This window comes from Homo sapiens, chromosome 7, assembly GCF_000001405.40.
Source record: "Homo sapiens chromosome 7, GRCh38.p14 Primary Assembly".
NCBI classification, from domain to species: Eukaryota; Metazoa; Chordata; class Mammalia; order Primates; family Hominidae; genus Homo; species Homo sapiens.
In genome coordinates this window covers 38,573,003-38,599,207 of record NC_000007.14, presented here as the reverse complement: position 1 = coordinate 38,599,207, position 26,205 = coordinate 38,573,003, and the positions used below count along the sequence as shown (strand labels likewise).

Below are 26,205 nucleotides of genomic sequence, written 5' to 3'. Positions count from 1 at the left end.
TTCATGTCCCTGCATTGCTAAAAGCAGAAATCACATAGACCACATTCTCTCCACAACTCAAAGAATTAGAAAATAATTGAAAAGGTTTATCACAATTTACTTGAAAAATTAGAAAGATTTATGTTAAGTAACTTAAGTCAAAGAGAGGAAATCAAAGCTACATTTAGGCACTATATAGAAATTAATGACATTGAGCACGTTACACACTAAAGTCATGGGAGACAAGCAAAGCTATATTCAGGGAAAAAGCAGTTGTTTTAAATGCTTTTATGTTATACAGGAAAAGATAAAATTAAAGAAAATGAGTGTCTACTTAAGAAGCCAGGAAAACCCAATCTAAGGACAGGAGGAGAAAGGAATATCAAGATTACAAGCAGAAATCAAGGAATGAGACAATAAAATAATACCAAAAAATTAATCAGTTAAAGTACAAATTAATTCTTTGAAAAGGCTAATAAAATAAACATAACTAAGATGACAAATCAAGAACAGAAGCTGGAAGCCACATCAAGAAAATACGGAATTAGAAACAGGCTGATAAACCTATAAAATATAAATTATAAATTGGAAAATTTTGGTGAAAGGAAGTAGACCTTGTGTTGTAAGATATTAAAACATTGCATCACGCCTGTAATCCCAGCACTTTGGGAGCCCGAGGCAGGTGGATCACGAGGTCAGGAGTTCGAGACCAGCCTGGCCAACATGGCGAAACCCCATCTCTACTAAAAATACAAAAAATTAGCCAGGCATGGTAGCAGGCACCTGTAATCCCAGCTACTTGGGAGGCTGAGGCAGGAGAATTGCTTGAACCTGGGAGGCAGAGGTTGCAGTGAGCTGAGATCATGCCACTGCGCTGAGATCATGCCACTGCACTCCAGTCCAGGTGACAGAGTAAGACTCAGTCTTAAAAACAAACAACAACAACAACAACAACAAAAGAACAACAACAACAACAAAAAACATTGCGAACACAAGTAATGACTTAAACAGACTAACTTAACAACTTGCTTTCACTAAAAGGAAGTTGACCTTATCTTGTTGGATATTAAAATATTACAAATATAAATAGACAAATCAGTGGAAAATTATGGAAAGTTAAAACATAAAGTCAAAGGTATGTAAGAATCATTCAATAAATCTATTTGGGCCAACAACTCATCATTTGAAGAAAAAATGACCCCAGCTTTATTCTATATGCTCTATACAAAAATAAGTTCATAGCTAAGATGAAGACTAATGTGAGGAAGATAAAATAAATGTTCTCAGAGGATAAGGGTGGGCACATGCAGGGACTGAGGAAAGGGAACTCTTTCTGAGCCAGGTGCCAAGGCAGATACTACACCTGAAAAGATTGCCAGATTCCACCCCATAGAAACACAAAACAAGAATACAAGTTACCATAAACAAGATGGAAAGATAAAGCTATTTTCAAATTTTAAGATATCTCAGCATATGGTATTAGTATTTTCCATTGAGTTGTGATGGGTGGGGTTTTTTAAGACTGGCTAAGCCTATTAGACATTAATGTCACATCCTGTGAGTATCATTGGTATTTGGTAGGAGTAATTTTTGCCTCTGCTTGTGAGAGTTGATAAAAATCTATTTTCATTGTGGAAAAAAATAAAAAGATAATTCACCTCAGCATGGGGAATGTATACAGTATTTAATTCTGCTTAAGAAATCTCAGACAGTGAATTACCTCAGAGCATATCTCTTGAATTAAAATATTCATATTTGACTGTATAACATATGTTTTACCTTGAAGTCCTAGTTGCAGAGCTGATTCAGAGGCATCTAGGTCAAATACATGATCTTCTGATGTCAGTGATTCATTATAACCCTTTTCCTGTTCCTCTTATGGGGCAAATATTCAGTAGAGGGCAATTATTTAACATAATATAACTTTCATGATGACAGATTCCTGTTAAATGGAAATACAATCATATATACAAATCTGCATGAGTTGTATGAATTCATATGTCATAATCAAATGGATGACTATGAATCTGAAACTTTTATTATTTATTGTATGAAAACCATGGGCTGTTTTTTTTCCCTGCCCTTTTAGTTTACTTTAATGGTTGACAAGAACTATGTGTGCTTTTTGATAGTCAGCTCAGAGGTTTATCCTGACTCAAAATGGAGTAGCATACATGAAATGATGTAAAATCAAAATGTTCACTTATTCAATGACTATTTGTTGCATTGTTGCTATGGGCCGGGCGGCAGGGGACTTTGTTCTGTAAGAGTTAGTGGGAAACTGTTGAAGCCAGAGAGAAGTATGATCAGATGCATGTGTTTGAGAGGTCATTTGGACACTGGAGTAGAGAATGGGCTGAAAACAGAGAGATAAATGCATAGGCCAGAAGGCCATCTACCTCAGGGTGCTGGCAGTGGCCTGAAGGTGGTGGATGGAATGGAGGGTCCACTGGGAGGTAGAATTGGTGAGATTTGTCATGTGGGAGTGGGCAAGAGGTATGGTAAAGGACAGTTTTAGATTTCTGGTTTGAAAAAATAAATAAAGAGGAAGAGGCTCAGAATCCCATCCTTTCTCATCTTTCCCTTCCCGTCACGTTTCATTTTTGTTTGATTGTGTTTGACTGCATCAGGCAAACATGAAATTATAGAATTACAACATGAAAGCACAAGTTGGGGCATGTTTATAATGTAGGGTCCCAGTTTAAGATTTGGGTGTGAATAATCCACTCTGCCCTCTCCCTTTCATGTCCTCCCACCTCTCAGTAGTGTCTCAACATACAAAACTTTTACCCTCTACTGCCTATACTTCTTGCCTGATAGGACTAATAATTCCCCGGGCTCCTGATTTCTGTCTGAAGAGCCAATCCTGTGTGTGCCCAGGCTGGAACTGAGACAAGAGGCTGGAGGAAGCCCACTGTTGGCTCCTAGAAGCTGGTTGCTTGTAAGCAAACTCTACCCCTCCATAGACTTATTCCTTCTCTCCCACAGGGCAAGTAATAACTCCTGTTTCCCGGCCACTTTCAAACCTTTCACACCAGTAGCTGTTCTCTCACACTTGCTCACATCCAAGCTAAAGTTGGAGTTTTCTCAGTTTGGAGATTTCTCAAAGAAATTAAACAGAGCTACTATTTGACCCAGCAATCTTATTACTGGGTATATACCCCAGTGAAAATAAATCACCCTACCAAAAAGACACATGCACCCATATGTTCATCACAGCACTATTCATAATAGCAAAGACATGGAATCAATCCAGGTGTCTATTAATGGTCGATTGGATAAATGTGGTACAGATACACTATGGAATACTATGCAGGTATAGAAAAGAATGAAATAATATCTTTTGCAGCAACATGGATGCAGCTGGAGGCCAATACCCTAAAGGGATTAATGCAGGAACAGAAAACCAAATACTGCATGTTCTCACATATAAGTGGGAGCTAAGCACTGAGCACACATTGGCATGAAGATGGGAGCAGTAGACGCTGGGAACTACTAGAGGTGGGGGTAGGAGCTTGGGTTGAAAAATTACCAAATGGGTACTGTGTCACTACCTGGGTGATGGGTACAGTCATATCCCAAACCTTAGCATCAAGCAATATACCCATGTAAAAAACCTGTACATGTAACCCCTGAATCTAAAATTAAAAATGAGATAAAAAAATAAAGTTGGACTTTTCTGGACACCCTGATTGATATTTGTCCTAAAACTCCTTTGGGAGGATTCTTGCACTTCTCCACAACCTCTACTCTGTATTCGGGCTTCACTGGCCATTGTGATACCCTTTATCTATGAGAGAAACATGGCAGGGACTATCCTCCTGGCTATAGAGCCCTTCAGCCCAGACTGCAGACATATCTTTTTCATACAGCCTAATTTCAGCATGACCTTTGTCTTCCCAGCACCTCCCACCTGTACAGCACTACCCCATGTACCTGGGCCCCTAATCTGCCTCCTGCTGAGGGAAAGGGGGAGCTGTGATATGTGGAGGAGAGGAAGGGAAGACACACAGGAGTGAAGCCCTGGGGAGCAGTTTGCTTGTGTCCCCAAAGCAGGGGCGGGGCAGCGTCGTTGTGTATCACCAGGGCAACCAGGGCACAACTCCCCTCTGTCCCTCCCTGGTCATGGAGCTCAGAGCCCTGGCCATTAGCAGACTCCTGTCCCTGTTTTCCTCTAGCAAGTTTCTCTCATGGAGGGCAAAGGCTGTTTGTGTTCTTTCTGGTACATTTCACATGTAATGTACACCACAACAGTGGCCTAAGCATCCGTCTTAAAATTCTTTCCCCCCCTTGTTTTTTTACTTCCATCTAATCTCTGCCTTAGATTTCTTTAAAGGGTTTAATTGCCTTTGCATCACCTAAGATCATCATTTGAAAAAAATATTGCTTAAAAATTTAGAAATAATTTAGAATAAGCAGCACTGATGTCTTTATCTTGCTTCCTTTAGGGGAAATTTGGGATGCAGATTTGTTTGTTTGGCCCATAGTTTTTTTTTAAACTATACATGTAAATATCAGGAGAATCCACATAGTAGTCTCGATTTCATATTTCTCTAGAAAAATATGAAAATGTGGTAATACTGGCTTGGCTTTCCCTCTTGAAAGCAAACCATTGGAGTGGAAGAGATGCCACCCCATTCATACGTACCCCTTCTTCCCCAGATGAAGCCTTGGCAGATCACCTACATCTACTGAGTCTCAGGTCTCTTAACCATAAAACAGGACAATAACCAAGACCTCACAGGTTGTTAATAGATCACATGGAATCAAAGCACCTTGCACAATGTCTGATACCAGGTAGGGAAGCAGTCAGTGTAGGTTGCTGTCCTCCAAACAGCTGGTATCTAGGGTTAGGAGGAAAGGGTGTTTTAGGAAAGTGTCTTCGGGACATCAGTAGAAGTTACTTGGAAGGAACTTGGAATTCACTGGGATCATTCATGTATCTTGTAATATGGACCTCGCAGAAACCTTGTCACTCTAAACTCCTTTCTTTCTTGCCCCACATCCATAACATCAATAAATCATGGCAGCTCTACTTTCAGGACATACCTGGAATTCGATCGCTCCTCACCACTCTGACCCAGGGCACCATCATCTCTTACCTGATTATGGAACTGGTCTCCCAGCTTCGCTTCCTGCTTCTTCCCGTGACCCCCTGCACCCTTACTCCACACGACCACCAGCATGCTAACGCCAAGAGCTTGTCAGGCCTCCTCTCAAAGCCCCGGTTGGCTCTCCATGTTGTCCGGGTAAACCCACCGCTCTCGCCATGTCCTACAGGCCCTCATCACCTAGCTGCTTGTTCCCTCTTTGACCTCATTTCCCACCACCCTCCCGCCAGCTTTGTCTGTTCCTTTTCTCTCCCGTCTAGCTTCCTTCTTATACCCTGAGCCTTACTATCATCTCACGCACTATGTGTTTTACTTACTTGTCTTGTTATTTCTCTACCCAGTTGAATGCAAGCTCTGAGTGGGGATTTTTGACTGTGTGTTCACTACTGTACTACTGTATCCCCAGATCCCTGAACAGGATGCAGCATTTCAGTGGGTGCCCCATACATGTTTGTTGATGAACGAATGAAAGTGAATCAAAGCAGGACCGAATGTGGCATTCTTCTTTGCAGAGCAAAGCTATCAAGTAATGCAGCAAATTAACATTTGTTATTTTTATAGAGGCAGTTAGCTCCTGTGATGGAACTGAGAGCAATAAAGGGAAAATTACAGGTCCTTTAATATTTTCATTTGACTTAATGTAAGAGCCACTCAGGAACGCTGCTTGTTACCCTTTGGATGTAACCTCTGTTAATTCAGCCGGGCTTGCTCCCTTGAAACGTACATTTGGTAGGGCACACTGGGAGTTGCTTGAGCTTTTGTTTTTTTCTTTTCTTTTTCTTTATCTTATTGTTTTTGAAGACTGCCAAAGAAAATTAGTAGAAATGATTCTACACTGAAAGAATAGTTTCTGCTTCACTAGAGTGAAGTAGATCCTTTTACAGATACAAAAATAAGTAAATGTTTACCCTATTGTTAAGATGCTTTATGGTTTCTTGCCTATAAAAAGCCTTTCATTTGTATCATGTAGCCAACATATTTATTATGCCTCTACTGTGTGCCAAGTGCTTTGTAAGATATAGAGAGAAGTAGTGAAACAAAGTACTTGCATTGTTTTACTACTTGAATAACTTTAATTGGATTTCAATTACAATTGGATCACTTGCAATTTAGTTGGAGAGATAATGCAGGTTCAGAAGAAGTTACAAGAGGAGGTGTGTCAGTACAATAACAGAGCCCCAGCTTTAACAGCAGTTGGGGCTAGAATATGCCGCAGGTTGGCCTTGGCTTCTCAAAGCAATGCTCCTATTTATTCAGCTGTGAAGCAGGTATTGCTATTTCCTCTTTATTGATTAGTGAACCGAGATGCAGGGAGTCTCAGTAGCTGGCCCAGGATCACCAGGTGAGACCACACAGTGGGAGAAACTGATTTTTTTTTTTTTTTTTTGAGACGGAGTCTTGCTCTGTCTCCCAGGCTGGAGTGCAGTGGCATGACCTCAGCACACTGCAACATCCACCACCTGGGTTCAAGAAATTCTCCTGTCTCAGCCTCCCAAGTAGCTGGGACTACAGGTGCCCACCACCATGCCCGGCTAATTTTTATATTTTTAGTAGAGACAGGGTTTCACCATATTGGTCAGGCTGGTTTGAGCTCCTGACCTCAGGTGATCCACCCACCTTGGCCTCCCGAAGTGCTGACATTACAGGCTTGAGCCAACATGCCGGGCCCAGAAACTGAATTTTAACTGAGATCACTGGACCCAAGGTCATTTCTTTTTCTGATCAAACATGGCTCAGAAGGGGCCATGGTAGCTGTGAAGAGGGAATGATCATACCTTGCTTGGGATAGGCCCCCAAATCTGGCCATAAACTGGCCCCAAAACTGGCCATAAACAAAATCTCTGCAGCACTGTGACATGATCATGATGGCCATGACGCCCACGCTGAAGGTTGTGGGTTTACCCAGGGTGGAAAACCGCTTAAAGGCATTCCTGAATCACAAACAATAGCATGAGCGATCTGTGCCTTAAGGACATGTTTCTGCTGCAGATAACTAGCCAGAGCCTATCCCTTTGTTTTGCCCCATCCCTTTGTTTTCCATAAGGAATACTTTTAGTTAATCTATAATAGAAACTGTTTATCACTGGCTTACTGTAAATAAATATGTGGGTAAATCTCTGTTCATGGCTCTAAGCTCTGAAGGCTGTGAGTCCCCTGATTTCCCATTCCACATGCTATATTTCTGTGTGTGTGTCTTTAACTCCTCTAGCGCTGCTGGGTTAGGGTCTCCACGACCAAGCTGGTCTCAGCAATATGTGCAGCGAAAGACATCAGAGAAATGTGAATGGCTTTACACAGACCTCAAGGGATATAGTTGGTTCCTTGGGACAAGTGTCAGGGCAGTGAACAGAATTAGGGAGGTGGTAAAGATGGCATGCTGAGGACAGCTGTAGGCTTGTCCGCAGTTTGGTTATGTGTTTATTGTTAGTGGTGGAGGGATGATAAGGTTTGGGGGAACTTTGCAGAATCGTTCCACTTTTGGGACCCTTTCTAACTTATGAGAGCCGAGTTTATAGAAAGGAGCCATTTGGGGCCAGGCGTGGTGGCTTATGCCTGTAATCTTAGCACATTGGGAGGCCAAGGTGGGTAGATCACCTGAGGTCAGGAGTTCAAGACCAGCCTGGCCAACATGGTAAAACCTCATCTTTACTAAAAATACAAAATTAGCCGGGCATGGTGGCGCACGCCTGGAATTCCAGCTACTAGGGAGGCTGAGGCAGGAGAATCACTTGAACATAGGAGGTAGAGGTTGCAGTGAGCTGAGATCATGCCATTGCACTCTAGCCTGGGTGACAAGAGAGGAACTCCATCTCAAAAAAAAAAAAAAGAAAAAGAAAAAGAAAAGAAAAGAAAGGAGGCATTGGGCTTCCAAGATTCTTAAATTATTCTCTCTTGGTTGAGAAAGACAGTTTGGCATAATTTATTTATATTTGAAAATTCCCTTAGCTTTAGGGAACTGGAGAGCTTGCCATGGGAATCAGAGGAGACCTGGTAACCTAGCCCTATGATAATGATATTTACCGCATTCTCCTGAATATAAGACAACTGGTGAGAAGATTCCCTCTCAAAATATCCCTCCTGTTTATAAATGAACTTTTAAGGCTATACTGCAAATAGGTGAATGTCAACTTACAATATTAGTGTATTAATTTAGTAACATTTTGAAATCGCTTATAATATAAAATTATATCTTACCTTCGAGGTGGGACATTTTTACTCTTACATTTTATGAAAGTTATATTAGTCTTTCACATGCATCTATGGCCTTGTGGTCATTGTCCTCAATAGAGCCACCTTTTGAGTTATCCCACTTAGTTTTCCAGGGAACTTCTGAGAGACAGGACTAGCTGGATTTCCTAGGCTGACTAGGAATTCTTAAGCCTAGCTGGGGAAGGTGACCGCACCCACCTTTAAACACGGAGCTTGTAACTCAGCTCACACCCAACCAATCAGGTAGTAAAGAGGGCTCACTAAAATACAAATTAGGCTAAGAGCAGGAGGTAAAGAAATAGTCAAATCATCTATCATCTGAGAGCACAGGGGGAGGGACAATGATTGGGATATAAACCCCAGGCATTCGAGCCGGGAGTGGGCAACCCCCTTTGGGTCCCCTCCCATTGTATGGGAGCTCTGTTTTCACTCTATTAAAGCTTGCAACTGCACACTCTTCTGGTCTGTGTTTGTTCTGGCTCAAGCTGAGCTTTCACTCACCATCCACCACTGCTGAATGCCGCCATCACAGACCCGCTGCTGACTTCTACCCCTCCAGATCTGGCAGGGTGTGGGCTGTGCTCCTGATCCAGCGAGGCATCCGTTGCTGCTCCTGATTGGGCTAAAGGCTCACCATTGTTCCTGCACAGCTAAGTGCCTGGGTTCGTCCTAATCAAGCTGAACACTAGTCGCTGGGTTCCACGGTTCTCTTCTGTGATCCACAGCTTCTAATAGAGCTATAACACTCACCGCATGGCTCAAGGTTCCATTCCTTGGAATCTGTGAGGCCAAGAACCCCGGGTCAGAGAACAAAAGGCCCACCTCATCTTGGGAGCTGGAAGAACAAAGACCCCCCAGTAACACTTCAACACTCCATCAATGTCATTTCAGATAAAGCACTCTTTGAAGCCCTGTGTGATAGTGTCCCTTGAAATTTTATTTCGAGCAACAAGAACTCATTAAGACAGTTTACTGTTTTTATCCATTCTGTGATTGTTGGTGATTTCCACCCACTGAATTGTTTTAAGTGATCTCTAAAATCTTGCCTATGAGGAGGTCCAACATTTGCAATTTTGTGTTCACAGGTGCCCTTTCTGGGCATATAAAACTGGCATTGATTAAGGATGTATCAGGTTGGTGTGTTTACGCCAAACTAAACTTTCACATACTCAATTAATAATTGAGAGCTACGTAATATGAAATACTGTGTCAGCAATCAAATGCAAAGCCTGTATTCTTAGAGATATAATTTTAATAAAACCTCATCTTCAGGTTGGGCAGAAACAGTATTCTACAAAATTGTTGTGATGAAATAACTAGTGGCAAGAATACATGACATTTTATGTGACCATTATGGTTTGGATGCAGCTGTTTTGATGCTCGGGGTAGGTTGACACAGTCTGGAAGCCAAGCCATTAAACATTCTGCTATTTAAAAAAATTACCAACTAGTGTATGAGACAGGCAATCTTATCCAATATGTAAGCTTTACAGTCACATCAACCCTGAGATGAGGATTAAGGTAAAAGTAGGAATGAGAGATGGAATGAGGAATTCGGTGGGATTCAGAGATGGGTAAGTGATGGTGTGAGAATTAGATGCAATCTAGAAGTAAAATTATACCTCACCAAGAGTTGAGTGTTGACCATATTCATTTATTCTAGAAAAGGATATTGCTTGTTCTTTATGAAGTGTTCTGCTCACACTTGCAGTTTTTATGGTCTGAATCTCTGATTATCTTATTTCTACTTTAATGTTGGATAGTCAGACTTCAATATCAATTAAATTTATTAGTTGAAATTGGAATTTGATCAATAGGAATATGGTATTTTCTATTCTAAAGAATGGACTCACCTACTTTTGTGAGTTTTAATTATATGATTAAAATCATAATTATTCTTATAATTTCTTGTTAAATTATTATTTCAATTAATTATATTTGTTTGACTGTGTAGTAGTCAGTGGTTGTTTGGGGGCAGGAGAGGGTGTGGAGGAGGGTGTTTGAACTTCAGATGCCCATTAAGTATTCAATTAATTTTTAACAATTATGGCCTCAATCCTAGTAAAATATATATTCAAGTTAGTATTACAAGTCTTCTTTATAATGATAGTTTGGAAGTAATAATAACATTTAGAATCAAAGCCAGTTCTAATAGGTTTTCTGAAAATATCTGTTTTTTCCCCCCGATTATCTTTTTTTTTCTAATAAATACACATAACTCTTAATCCAATATGGTGCCCCATAATTGGAGAGTTGGTTAGGTTCAGAACAGAGGCAGGGATGTGAGTAGTGCATATTGGCAAAAATTTTAAAAAAGGAGTTTTACATCTTGACAGGCTCATTTTGATGTGGTGCCATTAACATGTCTGGCACATACAGTAGACATTTAGTAAATTTTAGTGCCCTTTGTTTTCCCAGATCAGTTCACCAAGAAAGGAAAAGCAGTATGGTGATTACACATATGCCTGGTGTTCTGAAGCTTTCTTATATCTAGGAAACCAAGATTTAATGGAGAAGATTCAAGATGATATGGATCCCCACTATGTATGGCTTATTGAGAGAGCGATGCAGAACTAAAGTTGGGAGAAAAATACTATTTGGGATAAGATGGAAGATATTATCCCATCTTCCATCTTAATTAATAGTAATTAATAAGGCCAGGCGTGGTAGCTCACGCCTGTAATCCTAGCATTTTGGGAGGCCGAGACAGCTGATCACTTGAGCTCAGAAGTTTGAGACCAGCCTGGACAACATGGCCAAACCCCATCTCTAGAAAAAGATACAAAAACATTAGCCAGGTGAGGTGGCGCACACCTGTAGTCCACCTACTTGGGAGGCAGAGGTGGGGGGATCGCTTGAGCCCAGGAGGTCGAGGCTGCAGTGAACCGAGATCACGCCACTGCATTGCAGCCTGGGTGAAAAAGTAAGACCCTATCTCTCTCTCACACACACACGCGCACACACACACACACACACACACACACACACACACAGTAATTAATAAGCTGTTTAAAGTTCAGCATTTTGAAGCTGTGGAGCCTAGCTGATCACCCACGATTATAGAGGAGATTAATATTAGAGTAAATACTGTAGGTTAGGGTTAGAGAATGAGCACCGTTGGCAGCACAATTATTATGACAGTTTTCTTTTGGAATGGACTGAAGACATTGGCATACACATGGTATGATGTTTCAGTATATCAAATCAGGGCCATTCTTGCACCACCTTCTTGTACTATTTGAAGGTTTTTTCCATTATGTAAGACATTTGCTAATTAAATATTTTCTTCAAAGAATTAAGTTCAGAGGACTTACCTTTGCATTTCCCAGCCCCCTGTGAATATCTTAGGTTATAACATAGTGCTTTCTCGTTTGCAAACTTTCATTATTTAACTGTCAAAATCTCCCCAAATACCCTTTCAGGTGATTTCAGTACAAAATGTGATCCAAATATCAGAGAGCCTTTTATTACCTGGACTTAAATACCACAGATAACTCAGGGAGTTTAAGCTGACAGTTTCTCCTGGAACCACCTCTTCTGAAGCACGTTTAGATCGATGTCAAGATTGGTTTTTGCTGGCACTAAATAGTCACAGCTTTGAAACCTCCTGACCCACCTGCCCCAGGAAACATTAGCACCCAGAGCTGTTTCCTAATATTAAAGGTGCTTTGAAGTACAGTAAACAGTGTCGACTCAGTGTCCAGATGAGCATGGCCACAGCTCCTTGATTTGTTTATTCTCTTCAGGAGCGAAAAAAGTTATAAAATTGGTGAGAGCCCCACAGTCTCAGATTTTAACCAGATATTGCACAGGTACTGGTCATTTTATTCATTAGCACACTAGAGATTCAGAATAGGTGTGGATTTTATGTGTGTGTGTGTGTGTGTGTGTGTGTATTTACACAATTCCTAATATTTGGGTCAATAATACTTGGGACCAAAGTGTGTGATAGGAGAAATAATGCAGACTTCGAAGTTAGGACAACCTGGTTTCTAATCTAGACTCTGCTGAACAAGCCATGAAATCTCTCTAAACCTCTGTTTCTTCATCTGCAAGTTGAAGATAAAATAGATCTATCCTGTTGGAGATGAAAGAGAAGACATGTAAAGTGCTTAGCACAGGGTGCAGGATAGCACAGATCATCAATAAATAGTCATGATGAGGATAATGATGAGAAGCAGAACTGGGACCTGTGTCCCCTACTTGGTGTGGCCGAATGTAGACTGTGTGTACCTTTGTGTTTCTGGTTGGAGCCACCTGCTGTCACTTGTACTCTGCATCAGCTCTAGACCCCTCCTTCCATGTCAGACCTTGTATTTTTACATGAATGTGATATATATATATGAGAAAAGATCAGTCTATGTTGCTTAGAGCTAACTCACTAGCAATTGGCCCTTTCATATCTTGATTTGTTGCAAATGTGAGTTACTGTTTAGAGTAGTTTTGAAATTGAGCAGATGCTGTTGAGTTGATATATTCTGTGATTGGTACCACAAGGTAGAAGAATCTATGTTATTATAGAAAATACAAAATTTGAGACACCACTGTAGTTCTGACAGAAGGCTTGTTTTGCTCAGAGAATGCCCTTTTAAAAATTCTGATGAGATTGACATGTGACACAAGAATGGCAGAATGTTGATAAGGGGTTGAAGCTGGGTAAACGGTTTGTGGGGGTTCTTTATACTGTTCTCTTTACTTACGTGTTCGTTGGAAAATTTCCACGATGAAAATTTTCATATTTAAACAAATGCTGGGATGGTTGCCTTCCTGTTGAAATATTTGGAAGTCCAGGCATATTTTAGTTCCATGTCTGGACTTCATGTGGCCATCTTTTAGGTGTAATTTAATGTAGCATGCCATTATTTGTAGGATAAGATTATTTTAAAGGGTGAAAAAGGTGAAAGCTAAATTCAAAAGAAATGTGTGAAAGTTATCTCAGTGCAAAGAGATGAAGCTTAGAAAAAAATCTCTCAGGCTAGCTGCTACTTCACTATCCCCTGGTTTAAGGATTATGTAAATGAAATCTTCTGTGTATCCACAGCTATGCATACATTTATACTTAATGTTCCCATCAGAAGAAGTAATCAGTGCTGAAGCATTATTGAGATTTAGAAATTCTACCATATACCACACTCAAATGGTGAAAAATGTTTCAAAAATAGCCCTTGCTGCATTTAAATAGCCTATTAAGAGTAGACAGGAAAATTCCACTGGCACGGTGGACCGTGAGGCTATTGGACAGATCCATGTATTAAAAGCTTAGGCTAAATTTGGCTCTGTGGTGTGTAAAATAACAGCAGAACCTAGTATAAAGCACTTTTTCTGCATTGTTTCCTCAAAGATCCATATGTGTAAAGGGAATGTATTTTTCTTAAGCCAGGCTTGTGTCGTCAGGACCTGGTACTACAGATGACTTGAGCGCGGCTGTCACCATCAAATGACAGCATCTTCTTACTTTGCAAAAGCCCCTGTGAGTGCCCTAGTTAGCAGAGTTTATGCATCTCCACTCCCCACTAGCTGGGAGCTAGTGGCCAAGTCATATTCCCTACTGTATGTCCTGCCAACTGGAGAAAGGATACTTGTTCCCTTCTTTCTCAGAGTAATGGCTAAGGGCATCCACCTCGAGTCAGACCTGAGTCTGGCACTGCCTCCTAATAGTTTTGAAACACATGGCCTTGTAGATTCTCAGAATCCTCACTGTAAAAATGGAATAATAGTGGTATCTATGCCATGGGGTTCTTGTGAGGGGAAATGAGATACTTCTTACTTAACTGGCACCCCGTAAATAAACAGTTGTGTGAATTGTGATGATGATTATGATGATGAATCATGGACTGAGAAGTCTGAGGGTTGGAACATGTAGCTTGCTGTTTCCCAAGGTTGGAAATTGCCACCTTTCTTGGTTGTCATGGAGAATTCAGAGATGAACTTTGTAATTCTTACTCAGAAGGGATAGGAAATTTTTGTTTAAAGCTTGAAGCACGTGGGAGAAATGTAGACCTGATGGCTATTTGAAATACACATATGCCCTTGCACACTGGATTCAAGCCCGATATTTACATAATGGCCATTTTATTTAGGTAGAAGTTGCAAGATTTCAGCTCCATCTGCTCAGGTCTCTGCTGAGGCAGTGATGGAATCAGGCCGTGTGCCCCGGAGAGTGCAGAGGGAAAATTTCCAGGAAGGCTGATGCCTGGGAATGTTGATTCCCTAGTTCTCTCGTCAGAAACTGGCCTTCCAAATCTCTAGGAGGTTCTTTTCCTTTTCTGCCACATGACGTGATTCATGATCATATGCCAAGAGTGACCTACCAGTTCAGGAATGGCATATCTCTGCAGGGAGCTTTGATTTTTGGCAGAATAACTGCCTTCAGGGGACATCCCCTCATGGACGGCATTGTCAGAAAAGGACGGTGTTAGGTGGTAGTAAATGACTAACCTCACTGCGGCGACATCTCATGAACATGACCACATCTTGAATGATATTCAGGCCTCAAAGCAATGACAGCCATGCAGCAGTGCCACATTTCTTACTAAACGAAACCATATCCTACTAAAACTTCCTACTACCAGGGCTCCTTGCAGAAATAGCTGATTCTAGGTGTGGGTAGGAAATGTATAAGATGCATCTGGAATAGCTTGTTATCCCCTGAAGCAAGGAGGCTGTCAAAGACTACCTGGAGTCACTTCAAAAGGACACAGAGGCCAACATGAAGGTGCTCCCAGTAGCCTGAAATGCTGCAATAAGAGCATGAAAGGACAATGACTAAAATGAATTGAAACAAGTCAAATATATAAAAACAAATGGGCTCTTAATGACCTTATTTTTTTAAAAAAAGAAATGCACATGTAAAAATAAACTGGTTATAAGCAAGTCTTTTCCATGGATTTAGATTGTTGCTAATCAAATTCTAAACCCCGGAAACACATGACCATCCTGTCTCTCTCTAACCCTGTCATTATAGAGCAGAACTCAGTAAGTTCAGAGATGTGTCAATGGCAATGGTAGTAGCAGGGTTCTTTAGGGATATTTTTCAAGAGTTGTTACTCACTGGAAGGAAGATTATAGGACTTGGTGGGTAGTAAGCAGTGCAGGGGCTTCTGGCCCCCCTCACTCTGCCTCCAGGGCACCCAGTGCATGGCTGACACAGCTTTATCCCTCTCTATTGCAGTTTTGTTCAGAATTTGTTTCCCTAGTGGACTGTGAGCTTCCCTGGGGGCAGGGGCTCTGCTTTATTTTCTTTAGTATTCTTATTGTCCACCACAGTGCCTGGCACACAATAGCATTTAGGAAATAAATACCTGATAGAATATGTCTATCCTGTACAGAGGGGTTCATCCTCAAAATGAATGCAGAAGGCTTCACTATGAATGTCTACATGTAAGTATTGTCTCAATAAATCCTTTATTCTCTCTTGCTTTGAACAAGTGTTTTCATATTATTATTTCAAGTTTAAGTATTAAAAGGTGTGTGGCTTGTGCTTAGTTACTGAAATACTAAAAAAAATTCACTATTTATTGAATAGCTACTTTTCGCTAGGCTTTCTATTAGGTTCTTTGTATAGCATATTTTATTTGATTGTCACGAACTTATGAAATCTCTACTTGAAAGATTGAAGAATAAAGTCTCAGAGGTGTCAAGTATGTTGCCAAAGTCACTGAACTAGGAAGTGGGCAAGCCCAGGTCTGTTGATTTCTAAAGTTATCTGTTCTTTTTACTACACAGAGATACAGAAATGTAATCTTGGGCTCTTCATATGTTTTGAGTGAAAGGGAGCTCTGATGCATATTATCCTTGAAAATGAATAAGCGGGATGGTGGTGATTCTTTTAACCTTAATCTTTTATTAAAATAATTCCCTATTCCCATCAGTAATAAACCATGAGATTGTCAATACATTGTTGACTCTTATGTGTGGTGAACCATTCTAAACTAAATTTCCCCTTAGACAAAAATATAATAATGCTAAAGAGAATTTGAATCTATGGACCAAATTGTGCTTGAGTGAAGGATGGTCTTATTCATTTTGACATCCGGCCCTGAATAAATAAGGTTGTTTCAGGCTAGAGCTTTTCAGACAGTCACATATTGCACTGAATAGAATCAGCTTTTGACTAGGACCCTGTGCGTCCCCGATGTGACTTCTGAGGCTAAAGCTTTGCTATAAGTATATGCATGCATGTCTGTCTGTCTACTCAGCCATTCTCAAACTTTTTGATCTCAGGACCTCTTTACAACTCTTAAAAACACCTCCAAAGAATTGTAGTTTATTTTGGTTATATTCATTAGTATTTCCCATATTAGAAATTAAAAACATTTAAAACATAATACACAAGCACACATCTCATTAGCTGTCAGTACAGGATGTCATCTATATGTCATGGAATCTTTGAACAACTCTGCCATAAACTTATGAAAGAATAAGAGTAGTTTTGACTCTGTTGATGCATGGAAAGCTCTTGGGAACCCCTCAGGGGTGCCTGGACATGATCTAATAATTCCTGATCTATATGCTTTTTTATTTCTCCTCTTCTATCTTGAACCCACCCTAGTCAGGCTTTCTACATGACCATGGCACTTAAACTGCTGTCAAGGTCATCAGTGACCTCCACCTTGTTTAATTAAGTGGTCACTTCTCCATCTCTTAGAATTATTTGGCACAATATATCATTTACCCATCCTTGAACTATTTTCTTCATTTGGCTTCCAGGGTACTAGACTCAATTCCTTTTTAGCTGGTTCCTTTTTATCTCTTTGACTTCTTAATGTTGGAGTTTCCCATGGCTCAGGCTTCGGGCTTCTTTTCTTTTTTTAATCTATGTTATTCACTCTGTGGGGACATCATTCAACCTCATGTTTTTATATACCAGGCATGTATTTCCAGCCTCAGCCTCTCTTCTGAACTTGAGATCTGTGTATCCAGCTGCCTACTTGACATCTCTTCTTAGGCATCTAATAGCATCTCAAACTTAGTGCATGAAAAAATGAGCACCCCATCTCCGTCTTCTGCAAACCTCTTCCCCCTATAGTCGTTTTCACCTCAGCAAATCCCATCTTTCAGGTTGCTCAGTCCAGAAACATGGAGTCATTCTCGAGGCCTTCTTTCATGCTTCTCATCTCGTCCATCAGCCAAGCTCATCTGCATCAAATTCTAAAATAGATGTAGAATGCTACCATTTTTACACCTCCACTACTACCAACACCGTAACATCCTGCCTGAGTTACTGCAGAGCCTCTTAACCGTCCCTTGTCCTTTCCTTGCTCCACTAGAATCTCTTCTTCACACAGCCATCAGTCTGTTCCTGTTAAAAGGTGAGTGAGGCTCTATCGTGTCCCAAACATATCAGCAACTTTTCATGTCACTCAGAAAGAAAGCCAAGGTTCTTTAAAAAGGCCCACAAAACCCCATCTGACCTGATCCCTACTTCCATTACCTCTTATAACCCTTCCCTGCCAGTTCCCCTCTACCCACACTGACATCCTTGTGGGACCTCTGGGCTTTTGCACTTACAGTGTCATCGTCCTAGAGTGCCCGTCCCCATTTATCTGGAGGGTTCACTCTGTTGTCGACCTTAGATCATTATTCAAATATCAGCTTCTCAAGTGAGGCCTTCCCTTAATACCCATTTTAAGATTGCAATTCCTCCAACACTCTTTCCCCCCTTTCCTGCTTTATTTTTCTCCCTGGCACTTTTTTTTGCCATTTAATGTATGACGTATTTTAATTATTATTTAAAATAATTGCCTCTCATTTTCCAACCACAGCTGAACAATCTATTATGACAGCCATTTCTTTTGTCTGTTCTTCTATTGCTCCTCAGCCTTGAGTGTGCCTGGCACCTACTAGAGTATTAGTAAATATTTGAAGTGAATGAATGAATGGAAAGTAGACCATTTTATGTCTTCATGTTGAGAAATAATTTATAAACATATCAAAGAAATATAATAGGCTTAACCCAGTCTAAACTCCAAGTTTTTCCAGAGTATGCAAAATAAGGTATAATTGAAAAAAGTCTTTTGTAATAAGATGTGACTTTGATCAAAGGAATGTCCTAATTTTATTCTGAGGTTAAAGTACAGACTTATACCTACAAAGTTAGGTGCTTTGGGCATAAATGGATTTTGTGGTAGAGGAACTTCAGTGTGGGGCTCTGCTTTGAGAACAAGTACAACTATTCCTGACTTCTCAGACCCTTATCGTCATCGTCATCATCATCATCATCATCATCATCATCATCATCATCATCATCCCATATCTCTTGGACTTCTCATCCTCAGGTCATAGCACTGATATGGAGGGTGAATATCACAGGCTGAGGAAAGTGGGCCAGCTACAAATCTGGTCCATTCGTACAGAGCATCATGCCTAATACTCCTGGGGTTTGGCGACCCCAGGCTTGATATGGGAGGACGTCCAACCTGGAGAGTGGGCCACAGGGGTTTGGTGATGTCAATAGATGTTGTGCAAAAAGAGGTGAAGTTCAAGAGAAACTAATCTGGGAGGTAATCAGTTAAAGTTTCTGTTTTCCCAGGGCCTTTATTTTGCGATTGTGCATTGTAAACCCCTAATAAGGAGATAAAGAATGCAGGGTTTTACATGCTTAATGGAATTCAGAGCCTTTTGTTCTTGTAGCATCTCACTGGGGGAATTCAGGAATATAATAATGAAGCTTTACTATTTATATTTGTTAATTTTTTTCATCTTTCCTCTGGCCTCCAATATTAGGAAGAGAAAGGCATAAAAAGTAAGTAGAAAAGTCTTATAATTAAGCATTTTTTCCTAGTTTGGGATCAAAATCTAGGAGGGTATTTTATTTATGTAAAATTGATGTAGTGCTCTGATGAGAATCTGTAAATGTATGTGAGCATCAGAAGTCGACTGGACATTTTGGAGATTAACATTTTGGAGATTCATCAATGTGTTTATGTGACAGTGCTTTTTACCTGAGTGTTTATTCATGAGTCTGGGACTGGTATGCATTTTCTGGCGAACATTGTGTACATTTTCTTGATCTTTTGTGTTTCTCTTTCCCTAGGCATAATTTACACAAAAGGTTTGGTGAGAGAGGAGCTAGCTCAATGTTACATTTAGGTTATGTAGGGATTAACATCAATACTTCAGATTTGGTACAGATATAAAAGATGTCTTCCCATGATCAACTTTGATTATTTCATTCTCCTCTAAGGAATTATTCTGGGAGTACAACAATTGACATAAATGTCATTGCACTTGTGACACAACTGTTGCCTCTTTTGTAAGAAGAGTTTTGGACCAGGCATTTCTTAAGTCTTAGGATATTGAGTTATCTCTTAAGATTTCACTTCATGCCAACCGATACCTGAACATAAGTCAAGATAATATACACTAACAATTGTAGCTACTGCTCTGGAGAAGATAGCCTATACTTGATGTATATTACATTGTAAAGCAACTTAGGATTTGTGGGTTTGGAAATGAAGCCAACTTGATTGGTTTGTCACCCATACCTACGTTGAAGCTTAAGGATGCTGATCTGGGAAGAATGGCACTGGAAGGGAAAGCAAAGCCAACAGGTGGTAGAGAGTCTGGCCATGTTTCCACTGGACCAACATCCCAGTGGAGAGTGGCCACTGGAGACAGCCCTGGACTGGGGCCAAGAATGGGTGTTTTGGTCTCTCCCCTTGTCAAAGACACTGCACACTACAGAACAGCTAGAAACCGGTGATGGACACCAGCACAGCAGGTATGGAAATCTCTTCTGGGTGTTTTGTGGTCTTTCTATCTGTCCTTAGTTGGCTTAGAGTTGTAGTTCTTGCAGTTTGGTCTAGGGACTCCTGGGGCAGCCCAAGACCCTTTCAGGGGCTTTGTGAGGCCAGCATTATTTTCATAATAACACTAAGATATGATTTGCTTTCATCACTCTCATTCTCTTACAAGTGTACAATGGAGTTTTCCAGAAGCTGTATGACATGCAATATCTCAACAGATTCAAAGCAGAAGTAAATAAAAGAATCTAGCTGTTTTTTATTAGGCTGGAGAGTAAACAGTAAAGATATTTGTAAAAATGTAAGAAAAAACCATTAAAATGTCATAAGATGTTATTATATTGACATGTGATGAGTTTGTTAGGGGTTTCTTTAATTTGTTTTTTGTATTTTTTAGAAACAGGGTCTCACTCTGTAGCTCAAGCTGGAGTGCAGTGGTGTGATCATAACTCACTGCAACCCAAACTCCTGGGCTTAAGTGATCCTCCTGCCTTAGCCTCCCAAGTAGCTAGGACTGCAGGCACATGCCACAGCATGTGGTTAATTTAAAAAATAATTGTTATCATAGTGATGGGGGTCTTGCTATGTTACCCAGGCTGTTCTCAAACTCCTGGCTTCAAAAAATCTTCCCACCTTGGCCTCCCAAAGGGTTGAGATTACAGATGTGAGGCTCTGCAGTTCACCTATTGTGAGTTTAAATGATGCAATATTTAAAAAAAATTTTCGTTAAAATCTAATATGATAAATACTAACATATCACTTGCATAAGCCAAAGTTCTTTGGGAATTGTTTTCTGCACATGTATTTCCCAAATATTGCATGTATTTTTATTTACTAAATCTAACAACATAACTTGCTAAGTCCTTGTATTTGCAGTAGGTTTTAGCACCTGCTGTTTGGGGAGAGGGTGGAGACACTGCAATTCTTCTTACTGCCTGTTCAGTGGGTACTGGAACCAACTTTAATAAGTAATTGCACACTTGATTATTCTTGATGTCTTTCTTTCTGACTTTGCAGTGGTGGGTATGATTTTCTCCTGGAAAAGTTTGGGGGCTACTGGAAGGGCATCACCTATAAGTGTGTGGCAGTGTCAACAACTGATTTCAGCCCAATCTCTGTCATTTATCACTAAGTACAGTGTAGTCGTGTGTTGTCACTTATAGCAGAGCCTGCACAGGTGACGCAGCTATCGTGTTTGTTTCCAATGTTAAGCCCTTGGTATTTGCTAAGAGGGATGTAGAGATGACTTCCAAGAGGCTTCACAGGTATTATCTTGACTCATTCATTCATTCATTTCTCCTTTCCTCTTTTATGTTCCGTCTTCCCTCCTCCTTTCCTTCCTTTCTTCCTGTCTTCTTTCTCTTTTTCCCTCCCTTCCTCCTTCTCTTTCTCTCCCTTCCTTCCTTTTTTCTTCCTTCCTTCCCTCCCTTGTGCCCTTCCTTCTTTTCTCCTTTCCTTCTCTTCTTCCCTCCCTCTTTCTCTTTTTTTCTTTCTTTCCTTCCTCCCTCCCTTCTCCTCTCTCACCACCTCCCTATTATTTGTTCAACAGCTGTTTGCTGCATTCATTCTGTGGTGTATGAGACACTATGTTAAGTGCTGGTTTTCAGGAGAAAACAAAAAAGGTGATATTCTTGCCTTCAGGAAACTTGGTCAGTATCCAGAATTCTTTGCAGTCAACTTACGCTAATCAAACTCGCAAGGGAATAAAGAATCTAAACCACAATGGTAATGTGCTAGTTCAGAGTGGGGTGGCATTCCAGTGGATACCCTTTCTTAGCATCTGCTTATGGAGAAGCGAAGACTCGTATGAGAACTTGTAACTGACAGGGCGGGGGCTGGAACTACAGCCTAGGGATGAAGAGGGAGGTCATGGGAGTAAGGCGATTTACTCCACTGCATGCAGTTTGGAGACCTGGCCACAGGTGTACATTTGTCCACATGCTTCTCTTGTTATTTTGATTTTCCAAATTAGTTTTTGGATGTCATTTGTTCAGCAGTTTTTAGAAAAATTATAATAAAGTAGCATATCCTCTGCCTATGCCTGCTACATAAACATCTATTTCTGAATTTCTGAATTACACACTGGTACAGTTGACTTGTATGTAGACTAGAAAAGAATAAGGTGGTTGACCAGAACCCCATATAAATCCTCTTTAAGAAATAATAATAATCACTACTAGCTATCAAAAGCATATCATGAGCCCTAGATGTATTATTTCATTTGGTTTCTCGGAACAGCCCGGCCAGGTAGATATTATCATTTCCTTTGTATAGATGGGAAAACTAATTTCAGGAAGCTTAAATGACTTGCCCAAGGTCACACAACTGTTGATTAGCAGGGTCCGGATTCTGACTGTAAGTCCAGCTTTGTAACCACATGCCTAGCACATTGTCCCTGTGTTAGACATAGTAAAGACTTAAGTGAGATCTCTCAGGCATGAGTCTGGGGGTTCTGTCTCGTTTCTTTAGCCTGTTTTAAAAAAACATAAAAATAGAAAAGAACAATGAGCAACCCCCATGCCCTATTCTTTTGCCTTTATCTCCTATATTCTGATAAATAAGACAAAGATCATGATTATCTGGCCATCTAATTCACACTTTTCTCCAGTTTTCTCCTGAAAACCAGCACTTAACATACGATTTCCTGGAAGGCCTCAGATGGTTAATTCTAGGAATTCTCGGGTGGCTAAGTATGAAAACAAGAAAAATAATGAAGATAGAGCAGCAATACATTATAATGAAAATTGCCATAGTTTAGTATCTGAGGATATTAAATCAAACATGAAGGACTGTTGTGTGGAGAAGGGATTATTACTTCTGCCCTGGGGATATAAACTAAGAGGACCAATAAAAAGAATTATAAGCATGAGTCGTGGAGCTCAATATTAAGAAGTTGTTTTGTTTTGTTTGTTCATTTATTTGTTTTTTAATTAGACCTTTCCAAAGTAATATGGACTCCTTTGAAAGGTTTGAATTCTCCAGCAATGATGGTTACATCAAAGGCATGTTGCGAAGGTGTTTGGTTGTCAATTGTGTTCTTTATGTCCTGTGATCTTACATAGCACCACATCTCAATAGGTGTTCAGGAACTCTAGTCACTAGGCAGTCTATCCCAGAGGCTTATAAAATGTTTGCCAACTTAGAATTCGAAGGCTCCTTTTAAGAGAGTAACTTACAGAAGCTAAATAAAAACTATAACAGTGGTGGAGGAAGTTCCAGGGGGTGCCTTTGCCACCATATCCCTACCAGGTTAGGAAAGGCAGGGCAGCCACTTCTCTGCTTGGCTCTGATTTCAGGTGAATTCCCCTTAGGAATAGAATGAAAGTGAGTAGCAGAGCCTGGGCAGCGATCGAGAGGTGGAGATGAACAAAGTGGAAGGAGCATCAAGACGGCTGTATTAGTCCATTTTCATGCTGCTATAAAGAACTGCCCAAGACTGGGTAATTTGTAGGAGAAAGAGGTTTAATTGACTCACAGTTCAGCATGGCTGGGGAGGCCTCAGGACACTTATAATAATGGTGGAAGGGGAAGTAAACATGTCCTTCTTCACATGACAGCAGGAAGGAGAGGTTTAAATGAACTTTGTTTGAGAGGTTTGAGTGAAATGTTATAAAACCATCAGATCTTATGAGAACTCACTAACTATCATGAGAATAGCATGAGGGTAACTGCCCCCATGATGTAATCACCTCCCATGTGGTCCCTCCCCCAACACATGGGGATTACAATTTAAGATGAGATTTGGGTGGGGACACAGCCAAACCAAATAAATGTCCTTTGGAGACTTCCCTTAGAATCCTTGCTTTGACAATATAATGCTCATTCTCCATTTTCTACATTCATAAACATTTTGAAAATTAATATTTAATTATACCAGTATTAATGACTGTATTATCTAGGTTAAAAAAATTAAACTGTTATAGATAAGACTAAATATTTTTTGGTACTATATCCCCAGTGCCCAATGGAGGGTCTATATAGAGTAGAGTTGAAAGTACGTATTTGTTCATGTTTGAAAGATGCAACAGGAAACTTGAGATCTGGGTATACTTACACTTTTCCATCACTGTGAAATGTTTTAATAGTGATTTTTTTTTTTTTTTTTTTTTTTTAGACAGAGTCTCGGTCTGTCACCAGGCTGGAGTGCAGTGGCGCAATCTTGGCTCACTACAAACTCCACCTCCTGGGTTCAAGTGATACTCCTGCCTCAGCCTCCTGAGTAGCTGGGACTATAGGTGTGTGCCACCATGCCCAGCTAATTTTTGTATTTTTAGTAGAGACGGGGTTTCACCATGTTGACCAGGAAGGTCTTGATCTCTTCACCTCGTGATCTGCCCGCCCCGGCCTCCCAAAGTGCTAGGATTACAGGTGTGAGCCACGGCGCCTGGCCTTAATAGTGATTTTTATTAAGGTAATAGTATTGAATGATAAATTTGGAAGGCCTAGAAAAAAATAGAATAGAAGAATAAAAATCTCACCCATCGTCCTACCACATGAACATAATGTTGATAATCACTCCTGTTATTCTTTTATTTATCCCTAAATATTTATTCTTGTAATAAGTGTTCTTTGTTACATTTTTCAGGCCACCCGTTTTCTCTCCCTTGTAAGTGGCAGAGGCTGTGTGAACAGCAGCTGCAATTGCAAATCTCATTTCAGCTTCCTAAATCTTGTAATTAGAGGAAATCCTAATGAGGGAGCAATAGTTTGGCTGAAATTCTAATTTTCAGTGTTGTTCTGGGTGTTCATTTGCATCTTGAGGATCCTGCTGTTTGAGAGGGGCCGCTGGAGAGCATGACTCATGGTCTGCCGGCCAGATGCCGTGGGGAGCAGAAGTCTCCAGTGGAGAGGTTTTGATAAATCACCTCTCAGTTGTCTTAGTTATTGAATCTGTAAGTGTGCAATGGGAATAACAGACTGCTTCATCTCTGTCGTCTGGCACATATGTGATGTCAAGGAAAATAAGAATATATGTGATAAAGTTGGCATCACTCGTTGTGGGAAATCAAGATGATTCAGTAATGTTGCTAGGGTTGTTAGCTGACTGTTCAGGATAGCAAAAAACAAAATTTTACACCTTTGCCTTATACTTAACATCAAAATCCATTCCAGAGGCAGCATGGCATTGTGTTTGAGCACTGAAATCTATGTAGAACCTGGACTCCAGTCCAAGCTGTGCCACTTATTAGCAAGTGGTCAAGTTACTTCACCTCTATAGGCCTCTATTTCCTCATCTGTAAAATGGGGATGATAATAGTAGCTACTTCCTTAGGACAGTCATGAAAATTAAATGAGTTACTACATTAGTTACTATTTAGAACTATAATCTAAAACAATATTTGGCACAAAGCAGGTTCCATACAATTGTTTGGTATTATTAAGTGCTTTAAAGCATTAACTATTTTTATTGAAAGAAACCATGAAATAATCAGAAGGAAATATAAATTAATCAGAAGGAAAAATAAATTCAGATCAGGAGAGTCTCCCTAAGCATGCAATCAGTGCAAAAAACCACAGAGGGCTGATAGATTTGACTACATGAACATTAGAAGTCTGTATTGTATATGTCAAGAAAGCAAAGTATAAATTTTAGAATATTGAAAAGTAAATAAAGACACACAATAGTTACAACATGTCTGAAAAACATGGAGTTAATAGGCTTTAAACCCAATATGCTGTGACACCAAAGCTCACACCTTGGATTCATGTTATATTTTGGTTGTCATTAGCCCATGTTCAAAATTATGCTTGTGTGCCACTCATAGGAGTGTATGTATGTGTATACATACATGTATGTATTTCTTTCCTGCTTTATCCATAAACTGTTTAAGTCAGTTTACAATAATACAAAAGGTACAAAATAGCAAAAATTAAAAACAAGAAAAAAGAAAAAGTAGAAACCATGTAAGGAGGACTGAGGCTGAACCAGTTTGGCCATGATGGAGAGTGTGACATGGGAAGCCCGAGCAGTGCCACAGCCCAGTGTCCACAAGCCCCAGTCTTTGTAATTACATCAGGGAGGTACAAATATTTTTGATATTGACAACAGCAGAAAATTTCTTTTCAGAGCCTTCAAAAGAGAGTACGGACTATGTAATGAATCGGAATCTTGACACCATTTTGTCAATAACACTAATCATGATGACATATTTCATTCTCTG

At 40.2% G+C, this 26,205-nt stretch overlaps 1 protein-coding gene across 8 annotated transcripts in view, besides 1 other annotated feature; it reads left to right on the top strand.

The window, feature by feature from the left end:
* The window catches only part of AMPH (amphiphysin), a 247,670-nt gene that overhangs the window by 32,166 nt on the left and 189,299 nt on the right, over positions 1-26,205 (top strand). The gene's annotated exons all lie outside the window — the stretch shown is intronic.
* Positions 8,900-9,461: an enhancer, noted in NCBI's record as "OCT4-NANOG-H3K4me1 hESC enhancer chr7:38629347-38629908 (GRCh37/hg19 assembly coordinates)". NCBI's record gives its function as "activates a minimal SCP1, AML or CMV promoter by ChIP-STARR-seq in naive and primed H9 embryonic stem cells {active_cell/tissue: H9 hESC(naive and primed)}" and the evidence as "EXISTENCE:reporter gene assay evidence [ECO:0000049][PMID:30033119]".